The sequence below is a fragment of the Homo sapiens genome, chromosome 2, assembly GCF_000001405.40.
Source record: "Homo sapiens chromosome 2, GRCh38.p14 Primary Assembly".
Taxonomy (NCBI): domain Eukaryota; kingdom Metazoa; phylum Chordata; class Mammalia; order Primates; family Hominidae; genus Homo; species Homo sapiens.
In genome coordinates this window covers 199,827,534-199,842,544 of record NC_000002.12, presented here as the reverse complement: position 1 = coordinate 199,842,544, position 15,011 = coordinate 199,827,534, and the positions used below count along the sequence as shown (strand labels likewise).

The window sequence follows — 15,011 nt, the reverse complement described above, 5'->3', positions numbered from 1 at the left end:
TTACGCATGTGCATTGTGTATATATACATAGAGACATACACTCACACATAATTTTGCATATCATTTTAGTTTGAGGACTTTTAGAATAAAGGGAACAGTGATGCAGAGGCCCAGAGGTGAGGGCAGCCTGAACTTGAGCACCTGCAAAGGACTTCAGTATGGCTGCATGGAACTTAGAGGTGTGGAATGGGAAACACATTCCTGGGAATGTTATGAAATGAGTCTCAAGAGGTAATCAGAGGCCAGATTATGAAGTTTTATTTTTTTTAAATTTTTTGAGATGGAGTCTTGCTCTGTCGCCCAGGGTGGAGTACAGTGGTGCAATCTCAGCTCACTACAACCTCCGCCTCCCAGACTCAAGTGATTCTCATGCCTCAGCCTCCCAGGTAGCTGGGACTATAGGTGTGCACTGCCATACCCAGCTAATTGTTTTTTTTTTTGTATTTTTAGTAGAAATGGGGTTTTGCCATGTTAGCCAGGCTAGTCTTGAACTCCTGACCTCAAGCAATCTGCCGGCCTCGGCCTCCCAAAGTGCTGGGATTACAGGCATGAGCCACCGCACTTGGCTAGATTATGAAGTTTTAGATGTTAGGTTGAAGGGTTCAAATCTTGTGCTAAAGGCAGTGGTAACCACTGAAGTGTTTTAAGCAAGAAAATTAAATGATTGGCTTTAAGTTTTAGAAAGATCACTCTGCCTGCATGATAGAGAATGGACAGGAAGCAGGCTGACCAGTTTGGAAGGATGATATTGGCCTAAGAGAATAGACAATGGACAGATTCCATGGGCTGTTGCTGGTGAGGGACAGAGCAGTGGTGTGGTAATGTTATAACTTAAAATGGCAGAAGAAAGGAGGTTTGAGGGAAAGAGCATGAATACATTTTTTTTACATGCTGTCATTTGACAGCATGTAAAAGGTTGGCAGAGGTAAAATAATAATAATGTTCTAAATGATTCATCGTGAACAATGTTTACATAGGTATAATAATGTAACCACTAACTATTGGTCCAAATTTTGATATAAATATATTGAGGGGATGGTTGGTTATACAGTTTAGAGCTCAGGTGAGATGTAGATCTAGTCTATATTTATTTAAAGCATACAGGTTTTTCCCCAATATTTTGGACATTGGTATTTATTTATTTATTTATTTATTTTTTGAGACAGAGTCTCGCTGTGTCACCCAGGCTGGAGTGCAGTGCACGATCTCGGCTCACTGCAAACCCCGCCTCCTGTGTTCAAGCGATTCTCCTGTCTCAGCCTTCCCAGTAGCTGGGATTACAGGTGTGAGCCACTGCATCTGGCTGGTTTTCATTTTCTATAAAAACTCACAATTGATCTATTAGGCTACATCCCATTTTTATCACTATTAGGTCTCTAAATTTTTTTTTTTTTAAGACAGGATCTCGCTGGGTTGGCCAGGCTGGAGTGCAGTGGCATGATCCCGGCTCACTGCAACCTCTGCCTCTCTAGTTCAAACAATCTTCCCACCTCAGCCTGCTGAGTAGCTGTGATCACAGGTGCATGCCACCACACCTGGCTCATTTTTGTATTTTTTATAGAGACAGGGTCTTGTCATGTTGCCCAGGTGGGTCTTGAATTCCTAGGCTTAAGCAATCCCCACCTCAGCCTCTCAAAGTGCTGGGATTACAGGCATGAGCTACTGCCCCTAGCCAGGTCTCTAAAATTATTTCCTTTCCTCCTTCTCTCTCTTTCTTTTTTCTTCCTTCCTTCCCTCTCTTTCTATTTGTTTTTATCAAAATGATACAGGCATGTAGCTAAAAATCACATACTGTAGGGGGGTTTATTCTAAAAATTCTAAGTACCTATCTAACCCCCTTTACCTCCTACCATACACACACTTCAATTTCCTTCTCCTCAGAGCCAGCTGAGTACTTTCTACTCTTTTACCTTATTGATTTAACTCTAGATATCGAAATATCACACTTAAACACTGGTACGTCTTGGTCTTTCAGTTTTAGGCATTATCTATTGACTTCTCACTGTGGAATATGAAAATTTAGCTTCCCCTTACCCCACCTCTCATCTCTAACACACACACACTCACACAAACACAGACACACACCACTCACACTTCCCAATCTTCCAACCTCTCAACATATTTATATCAAAATTTGGGTCAATAGTTAGTGGTTACATTATTATAACTATGTAAACATTGTTCACAATGAATCATTTAGAACATTATTATTATTTTACCTTTTCTGCATAACTTTATACTTTTGCTGGAGTTGGTCATTATCTTTTTGATAATTTGTTTGCTTAGAGTTTTATATACTTACCACTGGTTTAGCTCCAAATTCTGTCAATAGTTACATCTCTCCATGCATTCAGATAGAACACTTCATGCATTCATTGAGGGTTCTATCAATTCCATCTTCTTAAAGAAGTATCTTCTAGAATACTCTGACCTGTTCCAGTTAGGACTAGCTGCCCTCAGTGTGTTGAGGATAACTGTCTTCATAGGATCCCCCTCAGCCATCATCATGACTTTCATCTTTCTCCATGTTGGATGCCCTGGTCCTCAACCTGAATCCCATGTCTTCTCTTTTTCTTTTTTGACTTTCTTGGTTTATGGTGTCGTTTTGGTGGAACACATCCTTTAGTAGCTTTCTGAAAAAAAATGAAGTACATTGGTGACCCTTTGCATATCGGAAAGTGCCATTATTCTACCTTCACACTGAATTGTTAGTTTGTCTTGCTATAGAATTCCAGGTTAGAAATAACTTTAATTTAAAGATGTTGTGTCACTGAGTTCTTGTTTCCACATTGCTATTGAGACTTCTGAAACCATTATGACTCCTTATTTTTTGTATGTGACCTTTCATTTCTCTCTGGAGGCTTGTGAGGTCTTTGCTTGGTTCCCAGTGTTCTGAAATTTCCCTGAAGTGCTTTTGTATGGGTCTGTTTCCATCCCTTATGCTGGATACTTGGTGAGTCCTTTTATTCTTTGAAACTTTGTCCATCAGTGCTGGACAATTCTTTTGAATTATTCCATTGATGATTTCTTCCATTTTCTCAGTTCTTTCTAAAAGCCCCATTATTTGGAGATTAGAACTCTTTTACTGGTCCTCTACATTTACTTTCTTTCTTATTTTCCATCACTCTATTTTTATAACACTTTCTGGTGAATTTCGTCTACTTGCTGTCCCAGCCTTCCATAAGTTTTTATGGCTTCTATATTAATTTCCAAGTGCTTTCATTTACTCTGTAAATGTTCCTTTTATTTTACTTTTCAAGAGAACATCCTGGTTTTATTTCATGAACGTATCATTAATGGATCATTTCGGTTTCTTCTTCCTGTATAATCTCCCCTCACCTTGTCCCCTTCACCCTGTTGCTTTTGCCTGTATTTTTTTTTTTAAAGGCTTTCCTTAAATGTTTGATAATGCCGTGTTGGCTGCTTATTCTGAGTGGATGCTGGAAGGCTGAATGGACACTCCAAGTGTGCAGGTGGGGTTTGTCAACTGTAGGCTGACATGGCTGGGTCATTTCTTTGGGGAACTCATACTTCAGTATTTTTTTGGTCTTTCCTCTTGAGCTGTTCAGGTTCCCCAGAGGAGGATCTTCCAGTGTCCAGCCTCGAGTGGAGACACCACTGCCAGTGTTTTAGAAGCTGAGTTGCACAAAAGGGCTGAAAAAATCTCAACGTTTAGATTGTCAATATAAATGTTCTTTTAATTCCTCTCTTTTCATTACTCACCCCAGCCCTCAGCTGTGTCCATATTCCCCAGCCCAGACACCTTGTGTTTTACCTCTTACATATTCTACCAGGGTGTGGCAGGGCAGGTGCCTGTCTGTGTGGATCAGGGATGGGCTCTGACCGCTGCTGAAGCCGACTTCCCACCCATCTTCTGGTTTTGAGCTTCCCCTTTGCCTTCCCTCCCAAAGTGGGGCTGCTGGTTCTGCCCTCTATCAGGCGTCTGTGGGATGCATCAGGTGCTTCTCTGCTGCTCCACTTGCTGCCTTGAGTCTGCCGAATCACATCCCCCTCACACATTTTCTCTGCAGCTTCCAGTGCGATTGCCTCCTCTTTATTTCTGTTGGTTTGAGTTAATGCTTGGGAAAAAAATTTCTTTATACCATTTTTTTTCCTGGGGGTTTTTGGAAGAAATGAAAGTAAACATATGGATCCACATTTTCATGTTTTCCTGGAAGTCCCTACTTCTCTTGGCGATTTTAAATCATCTTGGATCTTTCAGGAACAATGCATTCACCTCACTTGGAATCATTGGTAAATTTTCAGGAGCATTCTTCTTTTGTCTGACTTCTACTCAGTATTGAAGATATTTAGTCTGATTTTCTGTACTTCTATCAAGTTTCTATAGACAATTTCTCTGCAGGATACTGTGGACCCTGATGCTTCTTGTATGTGTTCCACGTCTTCCTCACTCTGTGCTTTCACATGCTAGACCCAGTGTCTCTGTAACATGACCCTGTTGCCTGTTGACACACAAACTTTCATGAGAAGGATTGAATGATGATAGAGGGGAGGGGTCAGCGCAGAAGATTCTTAGGCAAATTCTCCCAATGCCTTGACGGTGAAAATAGGCTTACCTAACCTGTAGGCTCATAATATTCAGCTGCAAGAGTCTAGACCATAGTTAATGAATTTTATAAATGATATGGAAACTTGCTTTTTGTTTCATGTCATTGATCAAATGAATGTTTGCACAATGCCGTATCAACTAAGGTCATTATTTAGAGAACTGGAAAGATAAATGCTAGCCATATAAGCTACATGAATAAAGAAATAGTGCTGGCATGATTGATACTTATTGTTTTGATTTTTTTAAAAAAATATATAAAACATTAAGGACTTTGATCAGAATGATCAGCCTTGTAGATTTTTTTCAATTATTCTTATGACTTGGAGGATGTGTGCCATGACACATTCACACAGCGTCAACACTCCCATGGTAGTCTTGAGACCCTTTGATTACCTTATTACAGATTGTCAAAACATGGGCTGATCTGGCAAATCAGGAACAACTTTTCACTTTGAGAATTTCTACTCTGATTCTCCAGTTGCTATGGAGATTGTCTCATAAAACAGTGTTGGATTTGGTTGAGATCAGTCAATTTAGATGCTGGGTTCTGATATAGTTCTAACCACCATCAACACTACCCTCATTGCCATAGCATAAAAACAATAGTTGATTTTACAAATGTGTGTAAACATATTTAGGGCATAGCATTTAGTTGAAGAATTACAGGAATACTGCCACCATAGAAAAATCTTAGAAAACAAGGGATTGTGCATTGGGAAAGTACTTAAAATATTAAGATTGATTTCCAGTGACTTTAGTACATTTTAACTATGAAGGAGAGTTACCGGGTTGCTCATAAATGCATATTGCCACAGGCTGAATAAATGCAAGAGGAGTCTACCAACTACTGTAAAACAGAGGTACTAATGAAGAAGGAAAGGCCAAATGGGAGAACTGGGATAAACAAACTTAATCTTCCATGACCAGCAGTTATGGATGAACCCAGCCATACTTGAAAAAGCTGCACTCTTTTCTCTTACTGTGGCTCTGCTACAACCTGCAGTGTGAGTGAGCAAGCAAGTTAACCCCATCGGGCAACACTTGGCCTGTGGGGGACCAGAGCTGGTGGATAAATGCTTGCCTCTTTTGTCCCTGAGATGGACAATTCTGAGGCCCATCTCAGCAGGATTGAGTCCCAGTTGCTCACAGCTTGATACCATACCCTGCTATGGACTTTTACTCCTTCCCTGTATCACTCTTCCTTTTTTTTTGAAACAGGGTTTGCTTTGTCACCCAGGCTGAGTGCAGTGGCATGATTGTGGCTCACTGTAGCCTTGACCTTCCAGACTCAAGTGATCCTGCCACCTCCACCTCCCGAATAGCTGGAACTACAGCATGTACCACCATGCCTGGTTAATTTTTGTATTTTTTGTAGGATGGGGTCTCCCTGTGTTGCCCAGGCTGGTTTCAAACTCCTAGGCTCAAGGGATCTGCCCACCATGGCTGGCCCCCTGTCTCACTCTTGATGTAAAAGCAATAGGGTTTATTGAAATATTGACAAGTGTCTGGGAGTGGTGGCTCATGCCTATAATCCCAGCACTTTGGGAGGCCAAGGTGGGAGGATTGTTTGAGCCCAGGAGTTCAAGACCAGCCTGGGCAACATAGGGAGACCTCGTCTCTACAAAGAATAAAAATAAAAAACATTAGCTGGGTGTGGTAGTGCGTGCCTGTAGTCTTAGTTACTTGGGAAGCTGAGATGGGAGGATCCCTTGAGCCCAGGAGGTTGAGGCTGCAGTGAGCCATGATGTGCTACTTGTACTCCAGCCTGGGCAACAGAGCGAGACCCTATCTCAAACACAAAACAAACAAACAGAAAAAGAAATATCAACAAGAATAAATGTCTTATAAGAATCTCCTAATTGGAACAAATGGGGGGATACATGAAATCCATGCTGCCTGACTATACACTTCTTGTAATTGTTTCCCAATCTAGAAGCCACAGTTGAGATTTACAGCTAAAAATTAGGAGCCCCCTCCCCAGCCAACCACTTCACCTAGGTAAAAGGTCTCTTAAGACACTCAGTGTTAAACCAGGAGTCATTGTGGGAGACATGAAACATTCACCCCTTACTAACAAAGGGAGCCCCAGGGGGCCTCAAAGTTGAGGGGTTTTAGGTTTTCTGATTTTCAGTAGATATCTACAACACTCAGAGTTTGGTATTTTATATGATTGCTGATAGTGTTTTAGAGATTGTGGATCTAGTAAGGGTTTATAGCAACTGACTGAATACTAGGCCCTGGTATTTTTGAGCTCAGGCCCCATAACTGTGGAGATGTTTTTCCTGAATCCCTTTTCCTTTTATCTTTCCTTCCTAGCTTTTATAGTGGCTTCCAGTGTCAAGGCCACTAGGATTAGAAAACTCTGAAGAAATGATATAATGATGTTAATGACGTTGATGGGCTTGTAGATTAAGTGCAAGTCTCTCCACACTGTCATGCACCCACCAACCCATCCACCTATTCTCTATTGGTAGAGTAAGAGTGTGCTTCTCGGGAGACTCACAGCCTGCAATAATAATGACAACAATGTATTATGATATTACAATAATTATAGCATCATTAATTATCGTTTATTATGTGACTATTAAAGTTACATAGGTTGAATAATTCATTCTCCAATTTTAATTACCTAAACATATGTAGTAAGATAATATTTTGAGATACTAATTGTTGTGCTTTTCTTTTCCCCGTAGCCTGTGTGGGACTGTCTGAGTTACCTACCTTGAGGGGATTATAGGATTGTTATAGTGACAATGCAGAAGTAACAGTGTTCATGTTTGATTTATTTATTTATTTTAGAGACAGGAACTTGCCTGTTGCCCAGGCTGGAGTGCAGTAGTGCAATCCTAGCTCACTGCAGCCTTGACCTCCTGGGCTCAAGTGATTCTTCTGCTTCAGACTCCTGAATAGCTAGGACTACAGGCATGTATCACCATGTCCAGCTAATCTTTAAATTTTTTTTTTGTAGAGACAGGGTCTTGCTATGTTGCCCAGGCTGGTCTGGAACTCCTGGCCTCAAGTGATCCTCCTGCCTTGGCTTCCTAAAGCTCTGGGATTATAGGCATGAGCCACCACACAGCTAGAATTTCTGACAATCGAAAGCAGAGGCTTTGGGAAAGCATTGCACAAAGTTTATATAACGTAGCAACGAAATTAGAAAGAGAGTAGAGAAAGAAGAAGGTCACTTCACTCCCTCCCCTCAGGGAAATAAGAGTATTGGGGTAGGTTTAAGAGGAGAGCGTGACAAATAATACACGTCTTCCTTTCCCACATTTGGAACCAGTCCCACAGAAGAGAAAGGCAGATGAGAAATGGAGACTACAATAACTTTATTACTGATCAAACTAGTATTGGCGGCTGGGACTACCCCACCAGAGAATTAGACTAACCCAGCCAGTCACAGGCAGTACCGGGCAGCCAAGGCCTGAGGCTGGACAGCTTTATGGTGAGGAGGAGTGGCCTGTAATGTGTGTTTCCTGCTGAAAACCAGCTCCTAAGAAGGAAGAGGGAGGCAGGGTGGGCCTGTGCACATCCAGTTTCTTTCCCAAACTTCCCATCAGAGAATGAAAGTTAGGAGGGAGCGAGGCTGGTGTTTTAGTTTACTAGGGCTGTAGTAACAAAGTACCACAGTCTGGGTGGCTTAAACCACAGAGATTTATTGTCTCACAATCCTGGAGGCTAGAAGTCCGCGATCAGGGTGGCAGCAGGGTTGGTTCCTTCTGAGAGGTGTGAGGGAGAACCTGTCCCATCTTGGCTTGCACTTGACCTTCCTCATGGTCACGTGGCATTCTTTCTGTATATTGTCTGTGTCCCAATTTCCCCTTTTTATGAGGACCCCAGTCATATTGGATTAGGGACCCAACCTACTGTAGTATGACCTCATCTTAACTCATTACATCTGCAATGACCCTATTCCAGAATAAGGTCATATTCTGAGGTACTGGGAGCCAGGACTTCAACATATGCATTTTTGGAGAACGCAATTCAGCCTGTAACAGACAGCAAGATGAGCAGAGCTCTCTCCATGTGGAAGAAAACATCAGTAATGGGCAGAAAGCATTTTTCTCCAAAACATAGTTGAAAGAGGTTGGAGAAGGGTGTGTGGAAATGGTCGTTATCTGAAAGGTGGGGATATGAAAAGGGGGAGGGCAGGACTTGACTCCTTTGGCAGGCAAATGGTGAGAGGTAGTGCCAGCTTTGAGACCACTGAGAGATTATTGTGTGTTGTCTGTGGCCAGCAGCCAAGAAGAGGCTTGAGAGCTGAACACACACAAGGAAAGCAAAGTAACTCATGCAAAGCATTTGTTTGTCCTTCTGAGGAGCACCAAATAGGTGGAAGAGCCAAGTTAACTCTTTGTTGCTGTGGGGAGTAGGCTTAATGCTGAAGGCTATTTATACATTGCTGATATGTTATCCAGCAGAAGGATTCCTGGCCATCCCCAAGGCTTTGCCATGACCCATCTGAACTACTCTTTGGGGAACCTTTAGCATCTCTATAGCTTCTCTGAAAGAGAGTGAGAGGTCCTTAACAAACGGGGAGCAATATATGCAAGTGAAAGGTCAATACCAATTCCACCCACTCAGGGTGTATATGTGTAGATCTGCCTGTCAGTCTCTGATCAGCATGAACTAACCAATAACATCACATTCCACTGTGGTTAGACAGGGAAGCAAGATGGGAAGTGGGCAGGATAAGAATTTGAAACTGGACACACTGGCTCATGCCTGTAATCCCAGCACTTTGGGAGGTCGAGGCAGGTGGATTGCTTGAGCTCAGGAGTTCCAGACCAGCTTGGGCAACACTGTGAGACTTCATCTTTACAAGGAATTTTAAAAAAATTAGCCAGGTGTGGTGCTGTGTACCTCTAATCTCAGCTACTTGGGAGGCTGAGGTGGGAGGATTGCTTGAGTCTGGAAGGCAAGGCTGCAGTGAGCTGTGATGGTGCCACTGGACTCCAGCCTGGGAAACAGAGGAAGACCCTGTCTTAAAAAAAAAAAAAAAAATTAGGGAGCTGAACAATCTGAGTTCAAATCCCACGTCTGCTACTTGTTTGCCAACTGGCTTGAGAAAATTTTTTAGTCTCTTCTTTTTCAGTCTCTAAGAGTTTTTGTATCTGTAAAATGGGAGAATAGTGTCATCCTATCAGGATGGTTATGATAATCGATGACTGTGTAAAGCCCCAGGTCCTCTGCCTCCTACCGGCTGTCATTATTTTTAGTGATTCTCCATTGCCTTGTGGAGGGGGTACAGAGCAGTTGGAGCCCAGGAGAGTCTCTTTCACCATAAAGAGAGTGGATCCCCCTTTTCTGTTTTATATATCAAGATTCCAAATAAGGTACCTTCTGAGAAAAGGGATTGCACAGCAAGATGTTAGAAAATCACTTGAGCAAGAGATGTCTGAAGTGCTTTCAGCTCTGAAATTTAAGTTCTATAGCAGACAGCTTCTCCTTCATCAGTTCTTCATTTGCAAAATGATATTCAGTACCTATTTCAGAGAAATATTATGAAAATAAATGGAGACGTGTTTGTGAACATCCAGACAGTCTTGGAGTGCCTGTTATGTTTCCATTTCCTATAGTAAATGCTATTGTGACTTTTAGAGAAATATAACAAAGTACCTTCCCCCAACAAAACTGAGTCCATGAAATAACTGTGTGTGAAGCTATTAGAAAGCACCACAGGACACAATAAAATGAGTTATGGAGTACAGTATAAGTTAAATATGTTAGGCCACTCAGGAAAGTATAATTCTTTAAATGAATTATATCACATCTGCACAAAGTGGTAAATATATCAGCATATGCCCTACAAAGGAATAATAAGCTTCTGTATACATATCTCTATGAAACTATATGTTATATGCAAGGAAATAACAACCTTCTTGGATTATTGGTTATGAAATATATATGTAAAATATACCCCAAACTCCTGATATACTATATACTTTCATGAATACTTGTATCTGTATCTCCATGAAATTGTATGTTATTTTAAGAGTTTGAGGGCACATTATTTTTCTGTTTATAGGGAGGAGAGTAGATAGGTCCAGTTTTTTCATTCCATAGCTGGAAAGCAGACCTCGACACATTAAGAAACTCACTTGTAGTTTTTTCTATCAAGACAGTAATAGAACAAAGAATCCTCACAACCATTTATTTATTAGACCTTGCCTGATTTTTTAAAATTAATTAATTCTCTGTTTCAAAATTTCGAGTACTACAGTTAAGGTTAAAATTCACCTCTGATCACTACTCTCATTCCTGGTTCTCTGAATGTCCCCCTGCCAAGTTATGGTAAGAGTATAGCATGCCCCAAATCCAGAATTTTCTACATGCTTTACTTACATACATGTATAAACCAATAAATCCAATATAGTATTGCTTGTGTATGTTTGTATTAGAAATGCTCTTATACTATAATTTTTTCATTCAGCAAGATAGCTTAGAAATATATCCATGGTATTACATATAGTTCTATTTCATTCTACCTGCTTTATAATTATCATAATATGAATATAACACATTTTGTCTGTTCTCCTGTTTGTGGACATTCAGATTGTTTCTTGTTTTTCCTAGATCAAATAATGAAATGATGAACATTCTTGAATAGTCCCTCTTGTGCACAAATGCAAGGCTTTTCCTAGAGCAAATACAAAGGAATGGAAATGTTAGGTTAAAACATTTAAAAATGTTTTTTCCAGATTAATTTTATATGAAAATCAATTAAGTGCTTATCCTGACCTCATTTCCATAATAAATAAGTTTTTTCTTTGCATTTTATTTTTTACTGTCATGCCAATAATAAACTGACAACTCAGAGATGCAAGTGAAATTTTTCTTAGCAAGGCCTGTTCATTTGGAGGCATAGGTGTTGTTATCAGCCTATCGTGGTTTTTAAGTTCGTCCTTTTGAAATGAAACATGATGGAGTAAACAGTAGCATCCAGTGATGTGCAGTAGAGTTTTGTTTCTTCCCTTAAATTGTTTTCTGCTACCTCAAGAAAAAACAGGCAACAGAACGTGTCAGTCGAAATGCAATTTAGGAATTGCACTTGATCTCATTTTTCAGCCTGATGTTTCTGCTCTTTCATCATAAAGATCAGCTGCATTTTATTTTTTTCAGTCCCTTAGAATAACATCCAGTTCTAGTCAGCATGTTTAATGTGCTTCTCAATGATGTTCTAGCACAATAAATTTCTGTATCTCGTGCATGTGTACATATGGTAAAAATTTCTTCAAGTTCTAGCCATGTGGGGGAGGAATATTGCGGTCGCTTTGTTAATGCAGTGTTTGTGTTGGAGCGGTTAGGGCCCCGCGCTTTAACTCTCAGCACTGGGCGTAATGAGACGGCTTTGATGGTGGTGTAAGAGTCTAGTGGGATGGTCACAGCTTCACACTTCAAAGCAGAGCATATGGGACGAATACTGGTTAGCTTTGTACTCTTTGGGGATGGTTGGGAGACAATTCTTAACAGCTCTGTTTAATGAAGACATTGGAAAAGAAATGTTCTATCTTTAAAATAATTTTGAATTGCAAAGAGAGAAATTTCCACCACCCCCCTTTCATAGACTAAACTAAGAATAATTTTTCCTAGTCTGCACTTAATTAGAGGCAGTGCAGCATCACACTGCTATACTGTATTTTCAAATGCCACTCTTTTTAAACATACTGTAGCGAGATTAATCGGCCAGTTTTAGTTTATGTGCATGAGTTTAGGCAAAAACTTTTAGGGCTATCTGTCTTATCATCTGAAATTTTTATTACTTCCGGTAGAGAATTTTACCTTCTTCTCATTAAAAAATATGAAAGTAAGAAATCAACTAAATAAAAAAAACTTGGCTATATTAACAGCTATACTAAAACTAGAGGATGCTTGTAAGATTTTAAGTCTAGCACCCAGTTTAATTTTTAGATTTTGAGCTTTTTTTTTTTCCTACTTGATTTGAGTCTCAGGTGATATGGGTTGGAAAATGCTCTTTTTGATTGGTTTGTGCTTAGGGAAAGGTTTGATACTTTTTTGAGTATCATTTGAATCCAGGTTTAAGAATAATAATGAACCATGCATTTATGCAGTAGGTCACAGAAAAGAGAATTTAACTTTTCCTAGAGGAAAGGGAATGACAGACTTGAGGTCTTTTTTCTAAGTTCTGCATTTTGGCTGGCATCAGAAATATAACAAAACGAATGAGTTATATTCCTTGAGCTGCTGAAATGCAGTTCTGTTTAACAATTCAATTTCAAGTCCATTTATATCGGTAGTCCTAAATTGCTCCTGAAAGAAAGAAAAGCAGAAGGGAAAAGAATGATATTAAATACCACTGTAGACAGATACATTTAATTAAGCAGATTCTTAAGTCCTGAATTCATGTACTACTTTTACTGTTGTATATTCTTAATAAAATACTACATTTTAGCCACAATTATGTCTGTTATAGGCTTAGAAAAGACATTTGTGTTATGAATATGAAGCCTAAACTTCTCATTGCACTGAGAAACATCTAATTGCATCGATTCTCCTGCAAAGAGGAATATAACCAAACTCACAGAAGTCTCTAAAGTTAAGCCTGAAAAGAAAGTGCTAGATATTCATATTTAGAAATGACTAAAAATTATTTTATAGCAAATAAGGTCAGCCAAACACGAAGGTTAAAAAATATAAATTTTTAAAAAGCATTTCAGTATTTCCTTAAATCAACCCTTTTAGAATACGACCAGAGAAATTGGGAAGGGCAGAACCACTGACCATAGCGGTGGGAAAAGCTTCTTAAATTGGGGGAAAAAAATAACCTAAAAAAAACTGGTCTTTTAATAAAGAGTGATTTAGGAAGCTGCAGTTTTGTTTTGCCTGTTTCAAAACTGCATGATGGCCTTATGTTCTTTCTGAACAGGTGATTCATATATATGCCTTGTCTAACAAAGCTGATCAGCATGGATATCCCACAGGTACATGTGGTTTTGACTGCTGTGAATATGACCACTACTCTAAGGACAGAGCATAAAACGTTAACACGACTGTGGAAAATTGATCCCATGGTTTCTCACTAGGAATACAATATGTTCTCACTGGTGTTGAACTCTCTTCTCGTTTTGTTAGCAGAGTGACTCCTTACTCCCATTTGTTGGTTTAGAATGGACACTGATATTCCAGGTTTGCAGCACCAACATCAACAAAGTGCTTAGGAAGCAAAGTCAGTTCATTCAATTTGATAAACCTTTATTGAGTAACTAGAAGGCACTGCCTTCTGGGATTTTGAAACTCAGAATGGAAAACAAAAGCTCAAGATTATTTAATACAAGTCTATTAGATTTGATACTATCAATAAAAACAAACAAAAGCTGTAGAATATTCTAACACAAGAATGGGAGAAATGAATTCCCGGAGAGGGAGGACACAAATATGAAGCAGGAGTTAATTCAGGAGTTTGGGTTTCCTGGGACTCTTTCACAAGCTCAAGTTTGGTTCCACTGTAGAGGGAAGTGGAACAAACAGCTAAGAGAGCTACAGTGAGCAGTGGCTTTACAGCAAATCTGAACAAAACTATTGCTTTAAATGATAATGCCACTTACTTGAAAACTGATGAGACAGTTTTCCACAGGCTTGAGCTTGAAGTATTCAGAATTATTATCTTCTTTAAGAGGCCAATATGATTTGCTTGATGTGGACATTTGAAGTTACAGGGGATGATTTTTATGCAGATTAATTGAGAAAATCAAAATATAAAATCAAAATTAGCCTTTTTGAATATACAATTCATATCACAAATAAAATAGCTTGGTAGTAAGTAATTCTCTGACTAAATATGAGATTTTTTTTGAAACACAGGCCATCTAAATTTGTTTTCCAACAAAATTACAAATACCTACTTACTATAGGCCCTTGGATTGCAGTCATTAGAAACACAAATGTTATTTCCTTGAGTATGAAGAGGGTATTGTACTGTCTTTATTGCTAAATATTATTTTGGCCTTGGTTGTCTCTTCATTGTAACGAGAATAATGTAATATTTCATTTTCTTGCTTCATTAGAGAACAAAAATCAAGCTTGATTTCTTCCATGATGTATTTATGTAGATGACAGAATGGAAGAGGAATTGTTAAAATATGGGAGCATTCCTAGTAAGTAGGAACATGCCAGCCTAGGAGGGTATTCAGAACTCAGGATTCAGAACAGTGGCTTAGGCTTGCAAAAGGGAAAGGGAGCTATTTATTGAGTTATACTCTGTACCAGACATTGGGCTACATGGTTTTCTTAATTTATGCAATCTCTATCCGTCCTATGGGATAGTTTCTTTTTCTTTTTTTTTCCTTTTCTTTCTGTTATTTTTCTCTCCTTGCATCTCCTTCATTTTCCTTTTGTTTTTAGTAAATAATTTTAAAGCAAATTCCAAAGATCATGGTATTTCACTCCTTCATAATTAATATACATCTCTAAGCAATTCGAA

At 39.4% G+C, this 15,011-nt stretch overlaps 1 protein-coding gene across 31 annotated transcripts in view; it reads left to right on the top strand.

Annotated features, from left to right (window-relative positions):
- FTCDNL1 (formiminotransferase cyclodeaminase N-terminal like) overlaps positions 1-15,011 on the top strand; it is a 187,358-nt gene that overhangs the window by 8,648 nt on the left and 163,699 nt on the right. The gene's annotated exons all lie outside the window — the stretch shown is intronic.